At 39.3% G+C, this 25,872-nt stretch overlaps 1 protein-coding gene and 1 long non-coding RNA gene across 12 annotated transcripts in view, besides 5 other annotated features; one reads left to right on the top strand and one right to left on the bottom strand.

The window, feature by feature from the left end:
- The window catches only part of SEPTIN7 (septin 7), a 114,778-nt gene extending 89,423 nt beyond the window's left edge, over nt 1-25,355 (bottom strand). For 6 of the 10 annotated variants that reach the window (XM_011515661.3, XM_011515656.3, XM_006715806.4 and 3 more), the window contains exon 1: nt 25,071-25,284. In XM_011515661.3, coding sequence (XP_011513963.1) covers nt 25,071-25,131 — 61 coding nt within the window. In that variant the 5' untranslated portion in view covers nt 25,132-25,284. Of the gene's footprint in view, nt 1-24,076; nt 24,079-25,070 lie in introns of all 10 variants that reach the window. The other 4 variants (NM_001363715.2, NM_001375299.1, XM_047421095.1 and 1 more) reach the window with 3 other exon arrangements.
- Nucleotides 24,373-24,822: a silencer, noted in NCBI's record as "silent region_18098". NCBI's record gives its function as "represses an Ori minimal core promoter by ATAC-STARR-seq in GM12878 lymphoblastoid cells {active_cell/tissue: GM12878}" and the evidence as "EXISTENCE:reporter gene assay evidence [ECO:0000049][PMID:35858748]".
- Nucleotides 24,853-25,092: a silencer, noted in NCBI's record as "silent region_18097". NCBI's record gives its function as "represses an Ori minimal core promoter by ATAC-STARR-seq in GM12878 lymphoblastoid cells {active_cell/tissue: GM12878}" and the evidence as "EXISTENCE:reporter gene assay evidence [ECO:0000049][PMID:35858748]".
- Nucleotides 25,243-25,632: an enhancer, noted in NCBI's record as "active region_25843". NCBI's record gives its function as "activates an Ori minimal core promoter by ATAC-STARR-seq in GM12878 lymphoblastoid cells {active_cell/tissue: GM12878}" and the evidence as "EXISTENCE:reporter gene assay evidence [ECO:0000049][PMID:35858748]".
- Nucleotides 25,243-25,870: a biological region, named in NCBI's record as "NANOG-H3K27ac-H3K4me1 hESC enhancer GRCh37_chr7:35840081-35840704".
- Nucleotides 25,247-25,870: an enhancer, noted in NCBI's record as "NANOG-H3K27ac-H3K4me1 hESC enhancer chr7:35840081-35840704 (GRCh37/hg19 assembly coordinates)". NCBI's record gives its function as "activates a minimal SCP1, AML or CMV promoter by ChIP-STARR-seq in primed H9 embryonic stem cells {active_cell/tissue: H9 hESC(primed)}" and the evidence as "EXISTENCE:reporter gene assay evidence [ECO:0000049][PMID:30033119]".
- Nucleotides 25,716-25,872, top strand: part of SEPTIN7-DT (SEPTIN7 divergent transcript) — a 45,662-nt gene continuing 45,505 nt past the window's right edge. Inside the window, exon 1 of one of the 2 annotated variants that reach the window (NR_120512.1) lies at nt 25,716-25,851. This is a non-coding gene — a long non-coding RNA (SEPTIN7 divergent transcript). Of the gene's footprint in view, nt 25,856-25,872 lie in introns of both variants that reach the window. The other variant, NR_120511.1, reaches the window with a different exon arrangement.

Genomic DNA, 25,872 nt, shown 5'->3' with positions numbered 1-25,872 from the left:
AAGTGTAAGTAATTCTAAATATGAAAAACAACCACAGACTACAAAAGGAAAAGATATTAATGCAGAAGTTTACTTCTCAACTCCTTAGTATTCCTAACAAAAGCCTTATATCATACACAGATATGTGTCTGGTACTTGCTTAGTCAAATTCCTACCATCTCTCATACAGCCTAAGGGAAAAGTTAAAGAAATTCATTTGCCATTTAAATGTTTTAAATATTTTAAGTATAACTGGTCTAAAAATGCCTAGATTCTAGATTTAATATAATATGAAAACTAAAATATTACAAGATTACATAGGCATGTCCTAAATATCAGTTTTTATGTTCCTCATCCCTCAACTATTTTAAAGGTTCATAACCTATTTAGCATGCCCCCAGCTCTCCTCTTTTTACTGATATGAACAACTGGGTACTGACAGAACCAACTTTTATTTTCTTAATCCTATTCTGGATTCTCAGTTAATCTGTTAAAAAGATTCTAATATTTAACTCTATAAATACATACAAGAATGAGATAACTTAAAATTTAAATCAATTTTTCTTTGCTCTGAACTTAGAGTTCAGATCTTAACTTCCTAGACTTACCTCATTCCTTCACTCATTCATTCAACATACTTACAATATGCCAAGCATATATGTGTGTTCTAGTAAACAGGAATATAAAAGCTAATAAAAACAAGATCCCTGCTCAAGAAGCTAAGAATCTAATAGGGAGGTGAGATAAGCTAGAGGACAATTAAAATAATTCAGTGATAAATGCCCTGATACAGGAAAGCACAGAAGGATATATAAGAGCAAACAAGGAAGGGTGTTTCATCCTATCCTGGGATCAGATCCTTTAGATACTGAAGGACTGACTAGTAGACCTTAATTTGATGACAGATGAGGGTGGGAGCTGGAGAATATGGGTCTCAGTCAGTTGAGTTATTAACTGCAAAGGCCCAAAAGCAAGAAGAGCGTATGGTTCCTTATAGGAACTACAAACAGTTCAATACAACTCATTTTTAGGATCAAGGAACTATAGCTTAGGAAAGTTAAGCAAAAGTCAGATGAGGAAGGACTTTGTTGGCCATACTTAGGAACTTAGACTTCATCTTGAAAGCTTAGGAAGAACACTAAAGATACAAAGAGGAATGCACAATCACATGAATTCACATGCAGAGTCACATTCATACTTTAGAAAATTACTACTGACAAGAATATTGATGATGAACTGGAGGAGAAAATGGTAGTAATCCCCAAGAGCTGCTCCAGCTGCTCAGGGGAAAAATAAAGGCTTGAACCAAGATAGAGGTAGTAAGGATAAAGAGAAATATAGGTTAGAACTCTACTAGCCATTAAGGTAGCCACTAGCTACATGTGGCTACTGAGTACTCGAAATGTAGCTAGTCTGAATTAAGATGTGCTGTAAGTGTAAAATATCATATTTTAAAGACTTAGTATAAGAATCAAAAATATCTTATTAATAATTTTATACTGATTGCATGTTGAAATAAAATTTTAGATATCCCAATTACATAAAATATAAAACTAAAGTTAGTTTCACCTGTTTACTTTTTAAATGTGGTTATTATGAAAGCTTAATTACATATGTGGCTTGCATCAAATTGCTATTGGACAATGCTAGGTTAGATATTAAAGACATGAAATGACAGATCTCTGTAACTAACTTGTAGAAGGGTGATAAAATTCAGATTTCTTAATTTGGGCTTGAGCAATTAAGATGAATGGTGAGTACCAACTGTTAAAAGTAGAAATCATCTGAGTTAAGGTGGACTTTGGGAAGACAATGTCTAGTAGGCAGTTGTATATATAAAGGTTAGAAATGCTAGAAACATCTAGGTTAGACAGATAATGAATATCTTAAGTAATCAACATTTAAATGGTATCAAGGCCATGGATATGAATCCAAATACAGCATACAGAGTAGGAAGCAGGCCAAGAAGCAACACCAACATCCCATCATAATCACCTAAACAAACCTAGGAAAAGCTGAGAGAAAAGAAGAATCAAAGAGTTCCCAGAAGCATTTCAAAGGAGGTCAACTGTAGCAGCCCCCTCAAGAAGTGGTTAACTATACCAAATGCTCTGGATTGGTCAATCTAAGGATACAGAAAAATCTACTTATTGTCATTGGAAACCACTCTCAAAGCTGTATCAATGGAAAGATAGGGGAAGAAGGCAGACTGGAAATAAATAAGCAGAAAAAAAAACTACAGGAGGTGAGTATAAGCAATTTTTTTTAATGCTTATCTTTGAAGAGAAGAACAACAGGATAGCAGCCAGAAAATACAAGGTCAAGAGTTTTAAGCACTTAAAAAAAAAAAAAGGCAGATGGTTCTATTTGTGTGAATGCTAATAGAAAACACCAAGTAGCAGACAAAGTTAAGTAAGGACACAGATAACATTTATGGAATGAAGGACAGGATTTTCCCTAAGTACCAGATATAAAACAACTTGAAAATCCCAAAAAAAAAGAGAAGAGAAGTAGGGGATTTTAAGAAGTAAAGATGTGAAACAGCAACCATAAGAATAGAGAGAGAGACTAGGAATACGTAACAGCCATCCAAGCAATTTTGTCCACCTGGTTAAGGCTGAAGACCATAAATCTTTGACTGTATCCCTGAAGCCATGTGATCTTTTCCTCCAGTAGCAATCCATAACTTGAGTACAATAAAATTGGCTGTAGGAGTCATTTGAAACTTGCTTTGCAGGAAGGGTACACAAAAGTACAAGACCAAGAGAGATGACAAATACAGATGAAGTAATTCAGTGAATGAAAATGGAGAGGATCAAGGATGGAAGGCAGGAAGTAAAGAAGACAGTAAAAAAATAAGTTGCTGGGCACGGTGGCTCATGCCTGTAATCCCAGTACTTTGGGAGGCTGAGGCGGGCAGATCACCTGAGGTCAGGAGTTCAAGATCAGCCTGACCAACATAGAGAAACCCCATCTCTACTAAAAATACAAAATTAGCCAGGCGTGGTGATGCATGCCTGAAATCCCAGCTACTTGGGAGGCTGAAGCAGGAGAATCCCTTGAACCTGGGAGGTGGAGATTGCAGTGAGCCAAGATCACGCTATTGTACTCCAGCCTGGGCAACAAGAGCGAAACTCTGTCTCGAAAAAATAAATAAATACATGTAAGTTATGGTTAAAATGGACTATACAATTAAGATTTTAGAAGTGGAACATAAGTTGCAGATGATAGCCCCACAGGGTTATTATTTCTTTTTTTAATATTTTACTTTTAAATATTTTTTCTTCCCACCCATTCCTCCATAGGGCTATTAAAAGGATGGCTCTCAGATGAGACAGAGAGAGAAAAAAAAGGATGGCTCAAGCACAGTCAAGAAACTGAAGCTAACTTACTGAAAGTGTCTTACACATGGGCCAAAAATGTCCCAGAATGATGATGGAGCTTGGAGCAGAAAGAAAAATTGAGTGTTAGATGTCATCTTTAATATTAGAACAAAACAGGGGTGTGGTAGCTGAAAATTTTAAGAAGGGGTAGAAAACATTGCTGCTAAACAGTAAAACTGTAAGGAAGCAGGGTTCTTTTTGAAGGAGAATGGCCTAGAATCTAGACCAGTGTTGTATCATGGAAATATTAGGTAACCACATATGCAATTATAAATATCCCAGTAGAGGGGTCCCCAACTTCCAGGCCATGGACTGGTAGCGGTCTGTGGCCTGTTAGGAACTGGGCCGCACAAGAGGAGGTAAGTGGCGGGCAAGCAACTGAAGCTTTATCTGTATCTCCAGCCTCTCGTATTACCGCCTGAGCTCTGGCACCTGTCAGATCAGCGGCAGCATTAGATTCTCATTGGAGAGTGAACCCTATTGTGAACTGTTCATTCAAGGGATCTAGGTTGCGCAGTCCTTATGAGAATCTAATGCCTGATGATCTGTCACTGTCTCCCATCACCTCTAGATAGAACCTCATCTCTTAAAAAAAGAAAAAAATAAAATAAGTATTAGGCTGAGTGTGGTGGCTCACTCCTGTAATCCTAGCACTTTGGGAGTCCGAGGCGGGTGGACTGCCTGAGCTCAGGAGTTCAAGACCACCCTGGGCAACATGGTGAAATCCTGTCTCTACTAAAATACAAAAAATTAGCCAGGTAGTCCCAGCTCCTCAGGAAGCTGAGGCACGAGAATTGCTTGAACCTGGGAGGCAGAGGATGCAGTGAGCCAGGATGGTGCTACAGCACTCCAGCCTGGGCGACAGAGCGAGACTCTGTCTCCAAAAGTTAAAAAAATAAAATGAGGCCAGGTGTGGTGGCTCACGCCTGTAATCCCAGCACTTTGGGAGGCCAAGGCGGGTGGATCATCTGAGGTCGGTCAGGAGTTCGAGACCAGCCTTGCCAACATAGTGAAACCCCGTCTCTACTAAAAACACAAAAATTAGCCAGGCATGCACCTGTAATCGCAGCTACTCAGGAGGCTGAGGCAGGAGAATCATCTGAACCCCGGAGGTGGATGTTGCAGTGAGCTAAGATCGTGCCACTGCACTCCAGCCTGTATGACAGAGTGAGACTCCATTTCAAAATAAAAATAAAAATAATAAAGTGAGTACTAGTGCCCAGTACTGGGTGATGATGTGGAAAAAGAGACACTCTCCTACATGACTTTTGGAATATAAACTTAAACCACTTACTTAAAGGGCAATTTAACCATGTGGACCAAAAACTGAAGTTTTTATTGTCTTAAATTCAACAAATTCCACTTCCAGAAATGGATAGTCTTGAGAATCATACATGATTAAGATAAAAGAATATTCAACAAAGCACTGCTCATAATAGTAAAAAATTGTAACAATTTTTGATGAGTTCTAAAGACAAGTGAAACTAAAATTGTATTACAGTACCTCCATGTATTAAAATACCAGGCAGCCATTAAAAGTAAGGTTTTAGAAAAATATGCATGGACAGATAATGATATATTGACTAGAAAAACATTCTTAAACACTTGTCACAGGAGAACATCAAAGAAATTGGTGGAGTAAATACTTCAGAAAATTCTGCTTCATTAAAAGCAAGGAGAAAACTGACACAAACTGTTCAAATCAACTTAACTTAAAATTCTGGAAATTAACTAAAAGCTTGCAGGAATCCAGGTAATGCTGATTCAAGACAAGGGGCTGAGCCTTGGTAAAAACAGCAGCTCTTGCATTTTAACTTGCCCATTGTCATCTCTCTACCTCTACAGTAGCCTTGAAAACCATCAGCACACAATCACAGTAAAAACCAGCAGCCTAGTGGCAACTGGAAAAAAACAGAACAATCATGGAATGCTTTCAAAGCCTCACTCTCAAACTGCTGTCATTATTTGATGTGTCTGGTAGTCCCTAAAGGCCCACTCACAAGTGACCACTAAGATAACCAAGCAGAGATTTCAGTGACAACATATGGCAAAAATTAACTTCACAGAATTAGTTCGAAAAGGAACTAAGCAAATAACAAAAAGCAACAACAATAAACCCTGCAGAGAAGGGAGAATCTGATTTCCAGAGCTGCCACACTGTATTATTTGAAATATTTAAAATGTCTAGTATTCAAGAGAAAAGTATGAGCCTTGCAAAAAAAACTCAAAACTGCATGGCCCATGTACAGGGGAAAAAAGCAACAGTCCCTGAGAAAGCCCAGACATTAAACAAATACTTTAAACCTGCTATTTTAGATATGTTCAAAGAACTAAAGAAAAGTCTAATAAACTGTCAAGTATGAAAACAATGTTCATCAAATAGATAATATCAAAAAAGATAATTTTTTAAAAATTCTGGAGTTAAAAAATATAATAAATAAAAGTATTCACTAGAGAAGCTCAACGAAGGATTGCAGCTTGCAGAAAAAAGAATCACCAAACCTGAAAATGGGTTAAATAACATTAACCAATTTAAGTAAAGAAAGAAAAATGAACAGAGCCAGAGACCTACAGAACAAAATCAAACATGAAGTAAGGGAGGGAAGGAGAAAAGGGGTGGGTTTAGGAAGGAAGGGGCAGAATGTATATTTGAAGAAACAGAACTGAAAACTTCCCAAATTTGAAGAAAAACATTAGTATCAACATCAAAGCTCAACAAACTGAATAAGATAAAATCAAAGAGACCCACACATAACCAAACTGTTAAAAACCAAAAACAGAGAATCTTGAAAGCAGCTTATGAGAAGCAACTATATGTATAAGAGACTGTAAATAAGAATAGCTGACATCCTATCAGAAACCATGGAGGCCCGAAAGCAAAAGGATAACATATTTCGAATGTTGAAAGAAAAAGACTGTCAACCAAGTGAGCTATGATGGTGCCACTGCACTCCAGCCTGAGTGAGAGTGAGACCCTGTCTCAAAAAAAAAAAAAAGACAAGATGTAGAAAACAGCAAAATTACAGGTGTAAATCATATCACTACTTAGATTAAATGTAACTAATGTATTTTGCTGTTTCAGGTATAATAGGACTCCAATCAAAAGGTAAAGAATGGCTATGTGGATTTTTAAAAGTAAGATCCAACTATGTGGTGCCCACATGAGACATGTTTCAGAATCACAAACACAAACAGATTGAAAAAAAAGGACAGAAAACAAGAGAGAGCTGAAGTAGCTACACTAATATCAGAAAACACAGACTTAAAAGACATATTGTTACCACAAAGAAGGATATTTTATACTGACTGAAGGACCAATCCATTGAGAAGATAGAACAATTTTAAGCACGTATGTCCCTAATAAAAGAGTCCCCAAATTGCACAAAGCTAAGAAAATGAAAGGTAAAAAAAACAACTGAACAGTAATACCTGACCTTCAACACCCTACTTTCAATAACGGGTAAAACAACTAGACAGATGATAAAGAAGCAGAAGACTCAACAACACTATAAACCAACTAGACCTAACACATAGCTGTACAACATTCCACCCAAAAACAGCAAAACACAATCTTCTCAAGTGCACATGGAATATTCTCCAGAAGAGACCATATGTTAGATCACAAAACACGTCTCAATTTAAATGGGCTGAAAATCATACAAAGTATATTCTTCATCCACTAGAGAATGAAGTTAGAAATCAACTGCAGAGAAAAATCTGGAAAATTCACACACTTGTGAAAATTAAACAGTACATTCTTTAATAATCAATGGGTCAAAAACTAAATCACAAGGGATACTGGAAAATACTTTGAGATGAATGAAACTAAAAACACAACATACCAAAATGTATTGAATGCAGCTAAATCAGTGCTTAGAAGGAAATTTACAGCTGTAAATGCCTATATTAAAAAGAAAGATCTCACATCATAACCTTCCATCTCAAGAAACTAGAAAAAGAATAAACTAAACCCAAAACAGGGAAAACAAAATAAGGAAATGATTATTTAAGCAGAAATAAATGAAATACATAAAACAGAAACATTAACAAAACCACAAGTTAGTTCACTGAAAAGATCAACAAAATTGACAAAACCTTAGCTAAACCAGCCAAGAAAAAAAAAACCAGAACACTCAAATTACTAAAATCAGGAATGAAAGAAGGGAAATCACTACCAACCTTTCAGAAATAAAAAGGAACCTATGAACAATTAATTCCATGCTGACAACAGATCAGATTATAACCTAGAGGAAATGCAAAAATTCCTAGAAAGACATAAACTACCAAAACTGACTCAAGAAACAGAAAATCTGAATAGACCTATAATAGATTAGTAACAAAAAATAACTAACACACACACACCCCAAAAAGGCAAAAACACAACTTTACACAAAGCCCATACCCAGATGTCTTCACCAGTAAATTCTATCAAATGTTTAAAGGTTGTACAATCCTTCAAAAACTAGTCCAAGAAATAGAAGAGGATTAAATACTTCCCAACTCATTTTATGAGGCCAGTTTTACTCTGATACCAAAACCAAACACATCGAGTAAAAACAACCAACCAATATCTTATATGGATGGAAAAAAACATCAACAAAGTACTAGCAAACCAAATCCAGCAATAAAAAGGGGTTATACACCATAACCAATGGGATATATCCCAGAATGAATATGTTGGTTTTACATATGAAAATTAATCAATGTAATACACTAAATTAAAACCCACACACAACAAACACATAATCATCTCAGTAGACACAGAAAACACATTTGACAAAAATTCAACACTCTTTCAACGATAAACACACTTAACAAACTAGACATACAAGGGAACCTCAACCTCATAAAGAACATCTCAGAAAACCCACAATGATGAAAGACTGAATGCTTTCACTCTAAAATCAAGAACAAGACAAAGATGTCTATCATTGCTACTCCTAATCAACACAGTTCTGGAGGTTCCAGAAAAGGCATTTGGTAAAATAAAGAAATAAAATGTATCTAGATTGTAAAGTAATGTAAGTAGTATTTGCAGGCGATATGATCTTATAAATAAAAAATCCAAAAGAATCCACTAAAAAAAAAACACTACAGGAACTAATAAAGTTGCATGATATAAGATCAATATACAAAAATCAATTGCATTTCTATAAAAAAATTAAGAAAAAATTCCATCTGTGATAGCATCAAGAATAAAATACCTAGAAATAAATTTAACAAAAAGAAATGTAAGTCTTATACATGAGAACTATAAAAATGTTGTTCACAAAAACTGAAGACCTAAATAAACAGAAGATACTTTGCATTAATGGAGTGGAAGACTTAATACTGTTAAGACGACAATACTCTTCAAATTGATATACAAGTTCAACACCATGGCTATCAACATCCTTGTTGGCCTACTTGTAGAAATTAGCAAACTAAGCCTATAGTTCAGACGGACATTCAAGGGAACCAGAATAACCAAAACAATTTTGAAACAGAACAAAGTTGGAAGACTCACACTCCCCAGTTTCAAAACTTACTGCAAAGTTAGTCATCAAAACAGTGTGGTACTGCCATTAAGGACATATAGATCAATAAGAAACAAATGAGAATCCACAAGAAAACCCTTACATTTATGGCCAGTTGTTTTCACAGAAGTTGTCAAGACCACACAATGGAAAAAGACTAGTCTTTTCAACAATGAGTGATGAAACTACTGGATAGCCACATACAAAAGAATGACTCCTATCTCACGCCATACACAAAAATTAACTCAAAATGGATCAAAAACCTAAACATAAAGGTCTAAAACTATAAAACTCTTAGAAAACATAGGGGTATATTTTCATGACCTTGGATTAGAAATGCTTTCTTGACTATGACATCAAAAGCACATGCAATAAGTAGATAAACTGGACTTCATCAAAATTAAAAATGCTTGTACTTCACAGAACACTATCAAGAACGTAAAAAAAAAAAAAACCTGTGGAATTGTAGGAACTACTTGCAAGTCTTCTATATGATAAAGGACTTATATCCAGAATCTATGAAGAATTCTTACAACTGAACAGTAGTAAGACAACTTCATTAAAAACTCAGCAAAGCATTTTAATAGACATTCCTCCAGAGAAGGTGTACAAATTGCCAATAAGCACATGAAAAGATGTTCAACATCATTAGGGAAATGCAAATTAAAACCACAATGATACCAGCTCACACCCAGTAGGATAGTTTTAAAACACAGGCAATAACAAGTATGGACAAGAATGTGGAAAAACTGGAACTCTCATACACTGCTGGTAGAAATGTAAAATAAGGCAGCTGCTTCGGCAGTCAGGCAGTTCTTCATAGAGTTAAACTAGAGTTACACTACACTATGATGCAGTAATTCTATCCTTAGGTATATATCCAAGGGAATTGAAAACTATAGGTCCACACAAAAGCTTGTACTCAAAACATTCACAGCAGCATTATCCATAATAGTCAAAAAGTAGAAAACAACCCAAATATCAACTAACGGATAAATGAAATATGGTAGTATATATACAACAGAATAATATCCAGCAATAAAATGGAATGAAGTACTACTGAGACATGCTACAACACAGACAAAACTTGAAAACACTGCTAAGTGAAAGATGCCCATCACAAAAAGTCACATTATATGATCTCATTTATATAAAATGTCCAAGATAGACAAATCCATAGAAACGGAAAGTAAATTAGTGGTTGCCAGGACAAGGGAAGAGAAGGGATGGGGACTGATTATTAATGGCTGCAAAGTTTCATTTGGGGCTGATGAAAATGTCCTAAAAGTTGACAGTGACAATGGTTGCACAACCCTGAATACACGAAAAACCACAAAATCACGCTTTCAAGGGGTATATTTTATGGCATGTAAATTATCTCAATAAATCTGTGATAAAAACAAGCATGTACTGTACACTACCTTTCATAAATTGTTATATCTCCTTTCTCACACATATCTTCTCATATGCGCAAAAAAATACTCACAAAAAATCAATCAGAAACTGATGAGATCCATTACCTCTATCGATGTGTGGGAAAGTGGTAGAAAAAAGGAGAATGAGAACAGGGTAAAAGAAAGGTGGGAAGAATACTAAGTCTATTAACACCATAGTAATTTTCCATATATTCCCATTAAAAAAACAAAATCAGCCAGGATGTGAAAAGAAATAGTAACAAATAAAACTAATTGTATTTCAGAAGAATAACATGAAGACACTGAAGGGGGTGGAACAGAAAAGAATATAACTAACTTTGGAAAAAAGTATTTTGATTAGCATAAGGTATTAGCATACTATATTAACTAACAGTATTGGTACTGCATAAGGCTAAAGACAAAAAAAGCATACACAAATATACTCTAGCAAGTAAGCATATTACATAGTTCTGAAGTTACATCTATGTGTACAATAGGTTTTTCCAAGTATGTAAATAAATTGTAGATGAAAGCCAGGTTTCTCAATGTTGAAGAAAAGAGTTACAAGGAAAAGAGAAAGGCTAGATTGAACTCTGCATTAATAGATTGGAATCGATGTACCAGTATAAATTCATGGTTTTTAGTATACATATGCAAATATTTTTACACACATATACAAAAATACAGATGTATATATATAAATTCATATATTGCCTACCTCTGTCTGTTCAAAACATCTACTAGAGGCAGTGACACCCCAGCAGCAATGAGCACTTCTGGTGCCCAGATCTTGGTTCTTAATCACTACTCTCAAAAAAAGGTTGCTGGACTCCTTGGACAATGGTTGATTCCAAGGCTTAGGCACGAAAAATACAAGATGAACTAGAAAGTAAAGAAGTACCCCTAAAAATGATGGGTACACAGTGAAAGGATGAACAAGAGCCACCTGAAAGGTCTATCAATGGACAACTGAACAATGAAAAAAATTAATATATAACCGAACTGATGAATAAATAAAAGAGCTCTTCCTTACAACAGAATCCCAGCTTTTTTTTTTTTTTTTTTTTTTTTTTGAGAAGGAGTCTCGCTCTGTCGCCTAGGCTGGAGTGCAGTGGCGAGATCTCGGCTCACCGCAAGCCCTGCCTTCCAGGTTTAGGCCATTCCCCTGCCTCAGCCTCCCGAGTAGCTGGGACTACAGGCGCCTGCTACCATGCCCGGCTAATTCTTTGTATTTTTAGTAGAGACGGGGTTTCACCGTGTTAGCCAGGATGGTCTTGATCTCCTGACCTCGTGATCCACCCACGTTGGCCACCCAAAGTGCTGGGATTACAGGCATGAGCCACCACACCCGGTCAGAATCCCAGCTTTAAAATGTAGCATCATGTACATGTAAACAGAAAATCATGTAACAGAAAATCACCAGTAACACAAACAGCACAGTAATAACTGCCATAGGCAAGAATCATTGACAAGATACTAAAGTTAGTGGGTAAAAGTGTAATGAGAAATAGTGTATTTGCACAGTCCAACAAAAAACTAGTACCTAAAATATTAAAAAAACCCTTACAATTCATTAAGACAAATAACCTAATTTAAAAATGGACCAAAGATTTCAATGGACCACCAAAGGTGACAAACAGATGGCAAATAAGCACAGGAGATCCTCAACATCATTAGTCATTAGGAAAATACAAATTAAAATTACAGTAAGTTATCTCTACAAATCTATAAGAATGAGTAAAATTAAAAGCAGTGACCATTCTAGGTGTTGGTGAGCACATGGAACAACCTGAATTCTTATTCACTGGGGGTGAAAATGTAAAATGTTACTAATATATTGCAAAATAATTTTGCAATTTAAAAATTAAACATACATCTACCATATTACTTACCCCAAGAATTTACCAAAGAGAAATAAAATGTTGAGCCACTATCATTACAGCTTTTTTAAGTTTACAGAAAAAGCATGAAAGAAAATACTCTCCAACTTTTAACAGTTTCCCCAGTGACCAGCACACAGCAGGTATAAAACATGTGTTTGTTAAATGAATGAAGTTGTTGAAGTTCTAAACTAATGACTTAGCAGCAATACTACCAATAGTTAACATCAATGTTACAGTAATATAATATCAATACATTATTGATGTAATGAACTTAATGTCAATACTACAACTGATAGTCTCTTATTTCAAAGAGTTCAAAAGCACTGATACACTATCGAATGTGAAATGATCAATATCCCAAGTTACTCATCATGTCATGGTTGGTAAAAGCTTCTCAGAATGGGTAGTTTTGATATGGGCCTTCCTTAACAGATGATAGGACTTCAAGGCAGGTACAAACACCATAACCAGAAGCAAGAATACTAATATTGGCCGAGTGCAGTGGCTTACTCCTGTAATCTTAGCACTTTAGGAGGCTGAGGCAGGCAGATCACCTGAGCTCAGGAGTTTGAGACCAGCTTGGTCAACATGGCAAAACCCCATGCCTACAAAAATACAAAAAAATTAGCCAGGCATGGTGGCACACGCCTGTAATCCCAGCTACTGGGGAGGCCAGCAGCTGAACCCAGGAGAGAATGAGAATCGCTTGAACCCAGGAGGTGGAGGTTGCAACAGTGAGCTGAGATCATGCCACTGCACTCCAGTCTGGGTGACAGAGCGAGACTCTTTCCAAAAAAAAAAAAGGAATACTGAATATTACTCATTTGTAAGTAGGAAAAGGTCAAACCAAGGAGGTGCTAAAATGATGACCTAAAAGTTTTTAATATATAAAAGATTCATAAGGCAGTATATGTACAGCTAGCTAGAAATCTGAATTCCAGTATCTGCTGTAACTTATTTGTGTTCAGGCGGGTAAGTTACATAACCTTTCTGAGCCTTAGATTGGGATAACATCTTGATGAGGATATTTGTAAGGTATATACAAAACAATTAACATAAAGGGTTTGGCACTTCACATACAGTAAGTACAATAAATGACAGTTGTTACAGTGGTTGCCCTACAGATGATAGTTATTATTAAGGCCTCCGGACTTATATCTTGCAGAAAAGTTATTCCCAAACCTGGCTATAATCAGAAGAATATGGGGAGCTTTTGATTAAAAATAGAAATCTGTGCCCCAGTCTAGAAGTAGGGAATTAGAATCTTGCCGATAGAGCCCAAGAAATAATATTTTTAACAAGAGCTCTAGAAGCCAATACTATAAATAATAGACATATTTATGTTACTATAATAGGTAAGTTATTTTGTAAAAGTAATGTTTTAGGTATAGTAATCTTAAAAGATTTATTTATTAAATGAAGTGGGAAGAGACTGGAAGCCATAAGAACAATGAGGAAACTACCCTACGGGGGAAAAAGGTCCTTTGTTTATCTTAGCTAGATTCTAATTGTTAAATGAAATCCACTACCCACCAACCAGAACTAGAATACACATCCTTCAATTAAAAAGCAATGGAGCCTCCCAAAACTTTCAACACAGATTCAAATAAAAGATGTTTCCATTAAGCATAAAACCCCCATTCCCTTGACATTTCCCTTAACCCTGGCCAGTACTAACGTTGATGGTGCATTTATATCATATATCGTGCTATATTTGCATGTCTGTAGCATTATTTCTGCATTTCCTCTGTGTTGACCACATGTTTAGCTTTCAAAAAGAAAGGGGCTTCAACTTTTCAGCAAATCCAAAACTATTCCAAAATTAAAAAAAAAAAATGGGGGGGTGGGGAAGGGACGTGGGGCCTATGTCTATGTAATTACCTCTCTAACAGCACAGCACCATGCACTAACACAAACAAGTATTTTTGGTGGGTCTACTTGCCAGCTAAGTCATTCTAGTTATCTTTTTCGCCCACAGCTGAAGTTGAGTTAGCCATCTCTCTAAAAACTGTTTTTTTTTTGTTTTTTTTTTTTTTGTTTTGGAGACAGAGTATCATTCTGTCACCAGGCAGTGCAGAGGCTTGATCTTGGCTCACGGCAACCTCTGCCTCCTAGGTTCAAGCAATTCTCCTGCCTCAGCCTCCTGAGTAACTGGGATTACAGGCACCAACCACCATGTCTGGCTAATTTTTTTGTTTGTTTTTTGTTTATTTTTGAAACGTTCAAGCGATTCTCCTGCCTCAGCCTCCCGAGTAGCTGGGATTATAGGCACCTGCCACTGCAGGAAGCTAATTTTTGTATTTTTAGTAGAGACAGGGTTTCACCTTCTTGGCCAGGCTGGTCTTGAACTCCTGACCTCATGATCCACCCGCCTCGGCCTCCCGAAGTGCTGGGATTACAGGCATGAGCCACCGCGCCCAGCCTTAATTTTTGTATTTTTAGTAGAAACAGGGTTTCACCATGTTGGCCAGACTGGTCTCGAACTCCTGACCTCAAGTGATCAGCCCGCCTCGACCTCCCAAAATGCTGGGTTTACCGATGAGAACCACTGCCACCATGCCCGCCTCTTAATAAGCAAGCTTCTAAGCCCCACTTCCCACCTAGTGAGTTATAGAGTCTCCAACTGTGTTAAACATTAGAAATGTTTCCAATGCTGGTCCAGGGTTTAGGACCACTAATACACCCCTAATTACAACCTATATATTTAGAAAGAATACAAATTAACTTACAATGATTGAAATAATTTATTTTTCCCCTTGTGGCTAATTTGTTTAAGTTAATCATAAAAGAAACCAAGTTTATATACTAAATTTTTATTATTAGAAATACTTTAAAATGTTAATATTTGAGAGAACATTAGTTTCTGGAAAATTTTTCCTTGTATAGATCGCCTCATACCCCAAAATGTTACATGTAATAAATAAGGTGGTACTCTCCTTATTTTTTAAAAAAATATATAAATGGAAAGAACTAAGAAAATTATTATGAGAATTTTGCCTCCTCTTACACAAATAATGATCTCATTCAAAATATTTACTGTATTCTCTAAAACTGAAGGACAATACATACCAAAATCTTCCTCAAAAGAAAGAACTCGGCTGGGCACAGTGGCTCATGCCTGTAATCCCAGCACTTTGGGAGGCCAAGGTGGGCAGATTGCCTCAGGTCAGGAGTTCGATACCAGTCTGGCCAACATGGTGAAACCCCGTCTCTACTAAAAATACAAAAAAATTAGCCAGGCGTGGTGGCATGTGCCTGTAATCCCAGCTACTCGGGAGGCTGAGGCAGAGGAATTGCTTGAACCAGGGAGGTGGAGGTTGCAGTGAGCCTCTGTCTCACCACTGCACTCCAGCCTGGGCGACAGAGCGAGCCTCTGTCTCAAAAAAAAAAAAACTCATTAACTCATTACAATCTGAATGGACAATAACAATATATAAGGATACAAAATGTCACTCCTGCAAAGAAACACTAGCATAACCCTGAGTCTGAAGCAACTGCTGCTGTGAAACGTACCAGCTGAAATTTTAAATAAGTAAACATCTGGCTGGGCGCGGTGGCTCACGCCTGTAATCCCAGCACTTTGGGAGGCCAAGGCGGGCGGATCATGAGGTCAGGAGATTGAGACCATCCTGGCTAACACGGTGAAACCCAGGCTCTACTAAAAACACAAAAAATTAGCCAGGTGTGGTGGCGGGCGCCTGTAGTCCCAGCTACTCGGGAGGCTGAGGCAGAAGAATGGCGTTAACGTGGGAGGCGGAGCTGGCAATGAGCTGAGATCGCGCCACTGCACTATAGCCTGGGTGACAGAGCAAGACTCCATCTCAAAAAAAAAAAAAAAGGAAACATTTTAGTACTACCCCAGAAACTGGAGACCTCAGTCTATATTTGAAGGACAACGAAGTTTCACACAAATCACTTTATTGTAATTTCCTTCAACTCTGTTCACAAACTCACTTACTAAACATAAAAATTCAAAGCACAAATGAATACATTTACAATTATCAGAAAATGTTTATTTTCTATCCTAGATGTCTTCCTAGTATTGAGACCCTACAAGACATGTCCACTTGGATGTCCCCCAGGCCTCTCAATTTCATGTTTCAAATTACCTATTTCAAGAAATAGCATCTATTCATCTACCCATTCACTCAAGTCAGAAAGCTCAAATATTCTGGACTCATTACTCACCACCCACATCTTCCCTAACACCTTACAACCATCCCCCTCATGTCCTTTCCCATTGCCCTGCTTCTGACCAATTTTTAGTCCTAAACTGCTACATTAAACTCCTTCAATTTAATGGCTCCAACCTGGTGCCCTGTCAACTCTCAACAGAGAGAATTATCATCACGATTCTTACGATTACCACTTTTCTTTTAAAGCCTTCAATAAAGATTTTTAAATTCTCAGCACAGCAATACCAGTTGCCTACTTACCTCTTCTAACCTCATAACCTGATACTAACATAATTTCTCAGTCTAGAATAATTATCTTTACTCCTTCACCTCCTTTACCTAATCACTCCTACCGACTTTCAAAGATTCACCTTCTCCAGCATGGAAAAGGTATCCTGCTTTGAACTTTCACTGTATGCTCTGCATACCTTTATATCGTATCACAAATTTTTTACTAAATGCAAGCCAGTTATGGGTTGGGGACACAAAGGTGAACAAAACACAGGCCTAGACTTTAAGCACAGTGGAGGCAGAACATAAAGTCAACTGCAATATAGTCTGATAACTTTTTTTAAGCTAACATCTCAGTGTTTATTATATGCCAGGCATCATGCTAAGGATTTGTCATGTACTATCTCATTTACTTCTCCAATAACCTTATGATTCCCACATTACAGAGAAGGAAAAATAGAAGTTCTGTTATTTGCCAAAGGTTCAGTTAAGCTTTAGAACTGAGATATGAATCCAAGTCTGACTCTAGATCCGAAAACTCTTAATCACCATGCCTCTATTTCAACTGCCACAGCATTTAATTCAGTTTCCCCAGTGGCCAGCACACAGCAAGTACAAAACGTGTATTTGTTAAGTGAATGAACTTGATTGTTGAAGTTCTAAACTAATGACTTAACAGCAATATTACCAATACTTAACATCAATGTTATGATACTATAACATCAATACATTATTGATATAATGACAATGTCAATACTACAACTTTTAAGTGGTAGTCTCCTGCTTCAAAGAGTTCAAAAACTAACAGTTAGTGTATTTGTTAGATACACTAACAAATGTGAAGAGATCAATATCCCAAGTGACTCACCATGTCAAAGTTGGTAATAGCAAAACACTGGAAATTAATGTCTATCAGAGGCAGACATGTTAAACAAATCAAAATATATCCCATATCATGATCTATCCATATGCTATGGTCTTAATGTGTTCTCCCAAAATTTGTATGTTGATACTTAATCACTAGTAATGGTATTAATAGGATTAATGACCTTATAAAAGAGGTGCAAGGGAGGTGCTTGACCCTTTTGCTCCTTCTACTATGTTAGGGCACAGCATTTGTTCCCTCCAAAGGAAGTAGCATTTAAGGTGCCATCTTGGAAGCAGAGACGCCAAACCTGCTGGCACTGTGATCTTAGACTTCCTAGCTTCCAGAATGGTAAGAAATAGATTTCTGTTCCTTATAAATTACCCAGTCTCAGGTATTTTGTTGGAGCAGCACAAACAGACTGAGATATCATGTAACGGTTATGCAGCTGTATAAAAGAATAAGAATGCTCTTTATGTACTGATACGGAATAACCCAAATTACACTCATTGGAAAAAAACATGTGGGAAATAATGTGTCTTAATGCTACCAAGGGTGGGGGCAGGAAGGATAAATGTTTTTAACTTCCATATGCAAAAAACACCTTTGGAAGAACATACAAGAAACTGTTAACACAGGATGCCGAGGACTAGGAAACTGGGTGACTTGGGGGTAGAAGTAAGAAGGAGATTTCACTGTATCTCTCTGTTTAACCTTTTGAATTTTGAACCAAGTGATTATATTACCTATTAAAAAAAACAACAACAAAAAAAACCAGGCTGGGTGCGGTGGCTTGCACCTGTAATCCCAGCACTTTAGGAAGCCAAGGCAGGCAGATCACGAGGTCAGGAGAGACCAGCCTGACCAACATGGTGAAACCCCGTCTCTACTAAAAATACAAAAATTAGCTAGGCGTGGTGGCATGTGCCTGTAATCCCAGCTACTTAGGAGGCTGAGGAAGGAGAATCACTTGAACCCAGGAGGCAGAGGTTGCAGTGAGCCACGATCATGCCACTAGCCTGGGTGACAGAGCAAGACTCCGTCTCAAAAAAACAAAACAACAACAAAAAACCTCCCAATAAAATTTTTAAAAAGCAACCAGGTGCGGTGGCTCACACCTGTAATCCCATCACTTTGGGAGGCCAAGGCAGGTGGATCACCTGAGGTCGAGAGTTCGAGACCAGCCTGACCAATGTGGAGAAACCCTGTCTCTACTAAAAATACAAAAATTGGCAGGGCACAGTGGCTCACGCCTGTAATCCCAGCACTTTGGGAGGCCAAGACGGGCGGATCATGAGGTCAGCAGATTGAGACCATCCTGGCTAACACAGTGAAACCCCGTCTCTACTAAAAATACAAAAATTAGCCGGGCGCGGTGGCGGGCGCCTGTAGTCCCAGCTATTCAGGAGGCTGAGGCAGGAGAATGGTGTGAACCCGGGAGGCAGACCTTCTTACAGCGAGCCGAGATCGCGCCACTGCACTCCAGCCTGGGCGACACAGAGAGACTCCATCTAAAAAAAAAAAAAAAAAAAAAAAAAAAAATTCAGCCGGGCATGGTGGCACATGCCTGTAATCCCAGCTACTCGGGAGGCTGAGGCAGGAGAATCACTTGAACCGGGGAGGCGGAGGCTGCGGTGGCTGAGACTGTGCCATTGCACTCCAGCCTGGGCAACAAGAGCGAAACTCCGTTTCAAAAAAAAAAAAAAAGTTTTAAAAAAGCAATTTCAGAAATGAAAACAGAAACATCATAACATCCATGACCACAGCTTTCTTGATTGCTATGGTGTCAAAGTGTCTGATACTTCCTGGAGTCAAATACTTGTTAAATCAATGAACAAAGTTTACAAAAGTTTCAAATTACCACTGCAGGAATATTTCAAATATATTTTATAAAGCACAGCAAAACTGGTGGAAAATAGTTTTGATTTTCCTGAAAACAGTCAATCAGAGCCAAAGATTTTCAGGGCCCCATCCCAGGCCTATCATTTATCAAAGTGTGAAACACTATGAGAATCTGTATTCTTTGAAAAACACCATGACGTTCATTTTATTTGAAATCTTATATAATAAAGAAGTTATAGGGATGGGGAGACTTTAGAAAGTTACCCAGAAAAAACACTTTAAATGAGTCAACTAACAAAAACAAAAAAACTAATTCATGGCTATTAGAAATCTTATCAGTGGTTACCTGGGGCAGTAGAAGGAGAACTCCAACAGGGCACAAGAAACTCTGGGATGGTGGAAGTATTCTCTATCTTGATTAGAATAAAGGCTACAAGATGTGTGTATGCACATCAGCAATTCATTGAACTAAATACTTAAAATCCACGTATTTTTTTCTATGAAAGCATACAATAATGAAGTTACTTGATAAGTCGGAAAGCATTTGGAAATGTAGACTCCTGGGTCCCTCTCCCAGAGATTGCTAATCAATGGGTCTTGTAGTGGGAACCAGTTAATCTGCATTTTTAACTCCAAGCCATGGTTGACCCTTCAACCATACTTTAGAAAATAATGACCTAGCATAATGTTCTATGTCCAGTAATTACTGATCATGCTTTGCAAAAATATATCAATTAATGATAAACTTTTAATACAAAAAAATCTAGGTAATTTTGATTCCCAAGTTTAGGAAATACTAAGAATATTAAGTGGTAGGAGTTCCAGGAAGAAGTAAAAAGTAAGACAGTTAAGGAAGCTTGTTCCTTCTTCCCCGTCTCCCACAATCCTTCAATGGCTCTCCATCACCTAGTGCAGTGGTTCTCAACCAAGGATGATTCTGCTCCCCCACGTGACATTTGGCAATGTCTGTAGACATTTTTTTCATTTCACAACCAGAGAGAGCATGTGCTGCTGGCATCTTAGCACGATGACAGCAGGGATGCTGGTAAATACTGTACAATGCTCAAGACAGCCCTCCCCTCCCTCAAATAATTACAAAACCTCAAATGAGAAACTCTGACCTGGAGCCTCACCTCCAATAAAGCTACCAGAAGTAGTCAGTTGTGTCCCAGAGTTAAACAAAACAACAGAATTAAGATGTTACAACTTCAGGAAAGTCCATTTTTACTTCCAGATCAGTGGGGAAGGAGGAAGAATATCATCTTTATATTTCACATAAAGCAAACAAACATTGAATAAAATGCAAATGACACATGAATACTTAAGACTTAGAAAACTTCAAAATAACGTAAGCAGGAGCAGCTTCAGGCTATCCCCCCAATCACAGGGGATACTTAATTCTCAGCTTTCAAAGTATAGTATTTTTAAAGTTAACACTGGCCTAAAACATAATACTGTACATAAACTTTAGCATGACAGTCTGTTGCTGCAGCATAGTTTAACCTAGTGCTATGCAAAGTGTGGTCTGTGGACCAATGAGCCAGTCTGTGAATTATCAGTTTATGTCAGAGAAACACAAATTGAGAGCACAAAAATGGAAAATTTAATAGCAGAATAATTTTATGTCTATTGAAACTAATAATAAAAAATTGGGGCTTATAGTTTATCTTTCTTATTCCATTTCCACTTTTTTTATTTGCAGTATAGTCATGCAGTATGTCCAACGTTTGGTCAACAATGGACATTTATGACAGTAGTCCCATAAGATTACTATGGAGCTAAAAAAATTCATATCACCTGTGATGTCATAGCAGTCACAAGTTCATAGTACAGCACATCATCTTTTCTATGCTTAGAAGCACAAACACTTGGCCGGGCGTGATGGCTCACATCTATAATCCCAGCACTTTGGGAGGCCGAGGCAGGAGGATCACTTGAGGTCAGGAGTTCCAGACCAGCCTGGCCAACATGGTGAAACCCCGTCTCTACTAAAAATACAAAAATTAGCTGGGCGTGGTGGCGAGTGCCTGTAACCCCAGCTACTTGGGAGGCTGAGGCAGGCAAGCACCTGTAATCCCAGCTACTCGCGAGGCTGAGACAGGAGAACTGCTTGAACCCAGGAGGCAGACAGAGGTTGCGGTGAGCCAAGATTGCACCATTGCACTCCAGCATGGGCAGCAAGAGCGAAATTACGTCTCAAAAAAAAAAAAAAAAAACAAAAAAAGAAACACGCTTACCATTTGTCATAATTGTTTACAGTAGTCAGTACAATAACAAGCTATACAAGCTCATAGCCTAGAAGCAATAGGATATAGCCCAGGTGTATAGTAGGCTCTACCATCTAGGTTTGTGTAGGTAAAATACTCTATGATTTCTCAATGTACCGTATTGTTAACAACGCCTAACTGTAGTTTTTAAAATTACAATCTAACCTACTCTGACTGGTGTATCTATTGAGTAGCAAAGCCAAGATTTGCATCCATATCTAACATCAAAGCCCATGTTCTAAATCATTATTAAGATTTTGAACTCAAACCCCAATGTGTAATCCCTACATCTGGATAGCTGGACTGCACCAAGTGTAAGTCACAAGGATTTAGTGTGTGTCTGGTCTACGGCCTTCAACACTTAATGCCAGCCAAGCTGCCTCTTTGGCCCCTCTTCCCCAAGCCCATGCTCAAAGCTTAGTCTCCAGATCTCTGATGATGCAAAAGGACACAGGAAGACAAAAACAAAGAAAAGATTCATCCTCAAGGCCTAAAGCAGAGTCACCGAATGCTACCCTTTTCTTTTGGAAGCCACCCTGGTTTCTGGCTATGGGGGATAACATCCTCTCAAATAGGAGTAGGCCTCAGATCTCTCTAACCATGCGAGCTACATGGAGTACAGGATAAATGAATCCAAAGTAAGAAAAAGCCACACGGACTTAACAGTCTTTAATTTTAAAGTCTTCCTTCCTCACACCAAGACCTCCAACCCCTAACATAAGGTTCGAAGACCTTAGATTTGACTCATCCATACTGTACATTTTGACCACAATCCTTAAAAAAAATTACTTCCCCACCTAGTACACAATACCTGAAAGAAAATTTAATCTCCCTCAAAATATTAAGTGCAATGTCCACTAATGGGTCACAACCTGCAGTCTTCAAAACACTGCTGTAGAGTTCAATGGTCTACATTTAACAGTATGCTCTCATATAGCGAACTAAACCCATAATCAAACTACCTTACAATTCTGCTCCTTAAAAACATAATTTTTCTTCAGTTTCTATTGTATAATAAAGTTTATCTTTACAGTCCAAACTTAGTACAAAAAAAGAAGTATACAAAAAGTTTTGTCTCAAAACTTAGTAAAAGACATAAATCATTAGTTTAAAATGTTCAACTTATAATCAAAAATTGAAGATAGCTTATTAATTCAAAATGTGAAACACATTTCTCAGCAGGCAATTTAGTCAGGTAGGAATTCTCTATCGGCAATTCCCAGAATACAGTCTACAATGAATATGTATATCATCAAATTATACAAAGTCTGAAACTAATCTGCTCTACCACTATCCTTATTCTGACTGGTCCCTCATCTGATCACTCTCCATTACTGAGACCTTAGAAGCCATAGATGTAACTCTTCTTCCTCCCTCTTCTCCCCCAAGCTTTGTTGTTGTTGTTGTCCTAGCATATTCCTCTAAATTCTCCTAGGTTCTGTAAGGATTCCTAACTTGCCTCAGACTTGTTCAGAAGTTCTGGCATGGATTTACTTAAAATGACTTCTACGGGACAATGTGCAAATCTGAACAACCAATTTTATCACAAACTTCTGAAATACAATCTTTTAACACTACCTTTCATGTATTATGTATGCATCAAATATCTCCAAACCAAAGCCTGCAACAAAAATTGTTAAGCTACATTAGAAAAAGACAATATCCTTTCTTTTTAAAGGATAAGAACTAATTAAAATCAACTTAACATTTCTGTTATTTGTTGTGAATTTGAATTCTGTAAGCCTAAGATGTGGTAAAATATGTATTTTTAATAACTGTGTTATGAAGACCTGGTTCCATCATGTTGTCCCATCATAGAATAAGACAATGCTACCATGCAAATCACCTATGTAGCTTCCACATTTATTTCATAGCTTCACTCAACTCTTATCTCCTTTAGTCCCACCCACTGAACAGCTGAATGAGATGAAAGATTGTTTACTGCTCTCCCGCCACGACCGTACCACCCCCCCATCACCACCCAACCACCCCTTACTCATTCCCTTGCAGTCTGAAGAAATAAAGAATCCAAGCAGCAATAGCTGACTTGGTCATTGTTTATATCCCCCCTTCAGTCTATCAGGATTCCATAAATTTCATCCCTACCTGTACACTTTTAAGTCTAAAATACTCTCCTCCCCATGTCTGCACATAAACTTTAGGGGGAAAAACTGACTATACTCATCACCTGCATGTGCATAAATATGTAAAACAGGTTAGATGCTTAGTAATTTAGATGATCTGTTCATTTACATTCTCAGGGGCACTAACAAAGATATTTTTTCCTTTCATCAAAATAAAAAAGCCAGAAGAAAGAATTCTTAAAGCTGAACTATTTAGCAATAAACTCAAGAAATGTAGTAAGTTATTATTTCAGTAACTAAGAAAACACCTGGACGTCACAAATTCTTTCCTAGGACTGTAAAAACCCAAATTTGAAACAGTGTACTCTTCAAAAGTAACTCAGCAAATGGAAATGTCCTAGAAAAATCTCGGTTGCTTATTTCTTACTATACACACAGCTGAAATGGAACTCAGGAGTGGAAAATGTAAATGAAATGGCCTGTTCTTTTTCCAACATGTGGGGGAGGAAAGGAAATGAAAGGGCTCGTTAAGAGAATAACTGAGAATATTGAAATATTTTCAAAAATTAATTTCCCTAAACTTCGCCACTCCACATCTCCGCTCCCTCCCTTTTCCAAGGACCCTTCCCACCCTTTCTATCTCCTCCGGGGGGCGCCCTTCCCAGGCGTTCTCTTTCCCTTACTCCTAAAAATTAAGCCCAAATTCCAAACCAAACTACCGATTCTCCCTCCGTTCTCAAGACTCGCCCGCCATCCACCGGCCTTCCGGGCTGCGCCTGGAGAGAGGCAACCCCGAGAGGCGGGAGGAGGAGCGGGGAGGCGACGCGGTGACTGGAGCTGCGGCTGCAGCCGCCGCCGCCGCCTCCACCACAGCCTCAGCCTGGTGCATCCTTCTTCCTCCCTCCCCGCCGCCGCCCGCCCGGGTTGGCCCACACAGCACCCTCGCCCGAGCGTTCACACTCGTCCCCACCCTCCTAGCCAGGCCCACTGCCCCACGAGGGGACTTCTGCCGACGGGGATGCGGCCGGGGACAGGAGGAAGCGGGGCCGCGGAAGCCGGCGGGCCCGGGAGGAGACTGAGGAAAGGCGAAGGGACGGAGAGAAGCAAGGGCAGGGCTGAGACCACCACGCTCAGGCTGCTCCGGCCGCGGAGGCCGCGGCTCTGCGCCGGGGGCCAGCCCGCCGCGGCACAGGAAATGCCGCCGCCTCGGCTCTCCTCACGTTCAATTCAAACTGTCACCGCCGCCGCCTCCCCTCCCCCCGAGCCCGCCGCTGCCGCGCCCCGGGCCCGCAGTGGCCCCCATCCCGGCTCCCCTCGCCGCTGCCTCCGCCTCGCCTCAGGGCGTTCCCTAGCTCGGTCCAGCGGCCGCAGAGCTTCCCGGCATTCGGAGCCGCTGACCCCAAGTCGCGGCACCCGAAGCTGAGACTCACCCATGGTGCTGCTGTTGACGCTCCTCTCCTCAGCAGCAGCGGATCTCGCACTGACCGACATCCCCTCCCCCCCTCCGCGACCAGCCCCAGCGGAGCGCAGCCCGCCGATTCTCCAAAGGCGCCTACGCCGATTCCGCAGCGTAGCCGCCCGGCGTAGCTGCCTTGCTTACGCACGCTACAGCAGGCGGACTCCTCCACAGGCTCTCGCTCGACTCCCGCTCCCTCCTCCGTCCCCCGCCCCCTCAGACGAGGCTTCCGGGCCTAGCGGAGGCTGGCTTCCATCTCGCGAGATTACCGCCTCCCCAGCTCCGCCGCCTCGCTCCATTTCGAGCATGACTTCATTGGCGTCAGCAACGTTTTGCTGTTCGGGTTTAGCCGCCATGTTTAAGTTGGCCGGGTTTCGCACCACTGAGGTCATGGATACTCAGGCCTCTTTGCGTGTTTCTTCAACACTGCTTCTAAGGTTAACCGCGTTACATTTGTTGGAGAAAATCCTGGGAACGCTGAAAAGGACTAGTGGGTGGGGTGCGAGGGTGGGGTCTTGCCCGAATTAAAGATGGCCGCAGTCAGCTCTGCCCCGCGCAATTTCACGTCAAGTTTTGGAGCTGCGGGAGCCGGCCAGTTGGCCTCAGCGCCTCCTTACGGAATTGGCGTAAGGCAAAGAGGCGCGGCTGGAAGAACCAGACTGAGAAAGTGCCACAGGGCGGGGGCCGCATCCGCCCCTCGGCTTCTGGTTACTGACCCGACGGCTTTGTGAGTGAAAGTGAAGAGACACTTCGAGGCAGGTGTCTGTGCTCCCCAT

Source organism: Homo sapiens, chromosome 7 (genome assembly GCF_000001405.40).
Source record: "Homo sapiens chromosome 7, GRCh38.p14 Primary Assembly".
In the NCBI taxonomy this organism is placed as follows: Eukaryota; Metazoa; Chordata; class Mammalia; order Primates; family Hominidae; genus Homo; species Homo sapiens.
The sequence above is the reverse complement of the archived record's forward strand: the minus strand, read 5'-3'. Positions and strand labels throughout refer to the sequence as shown.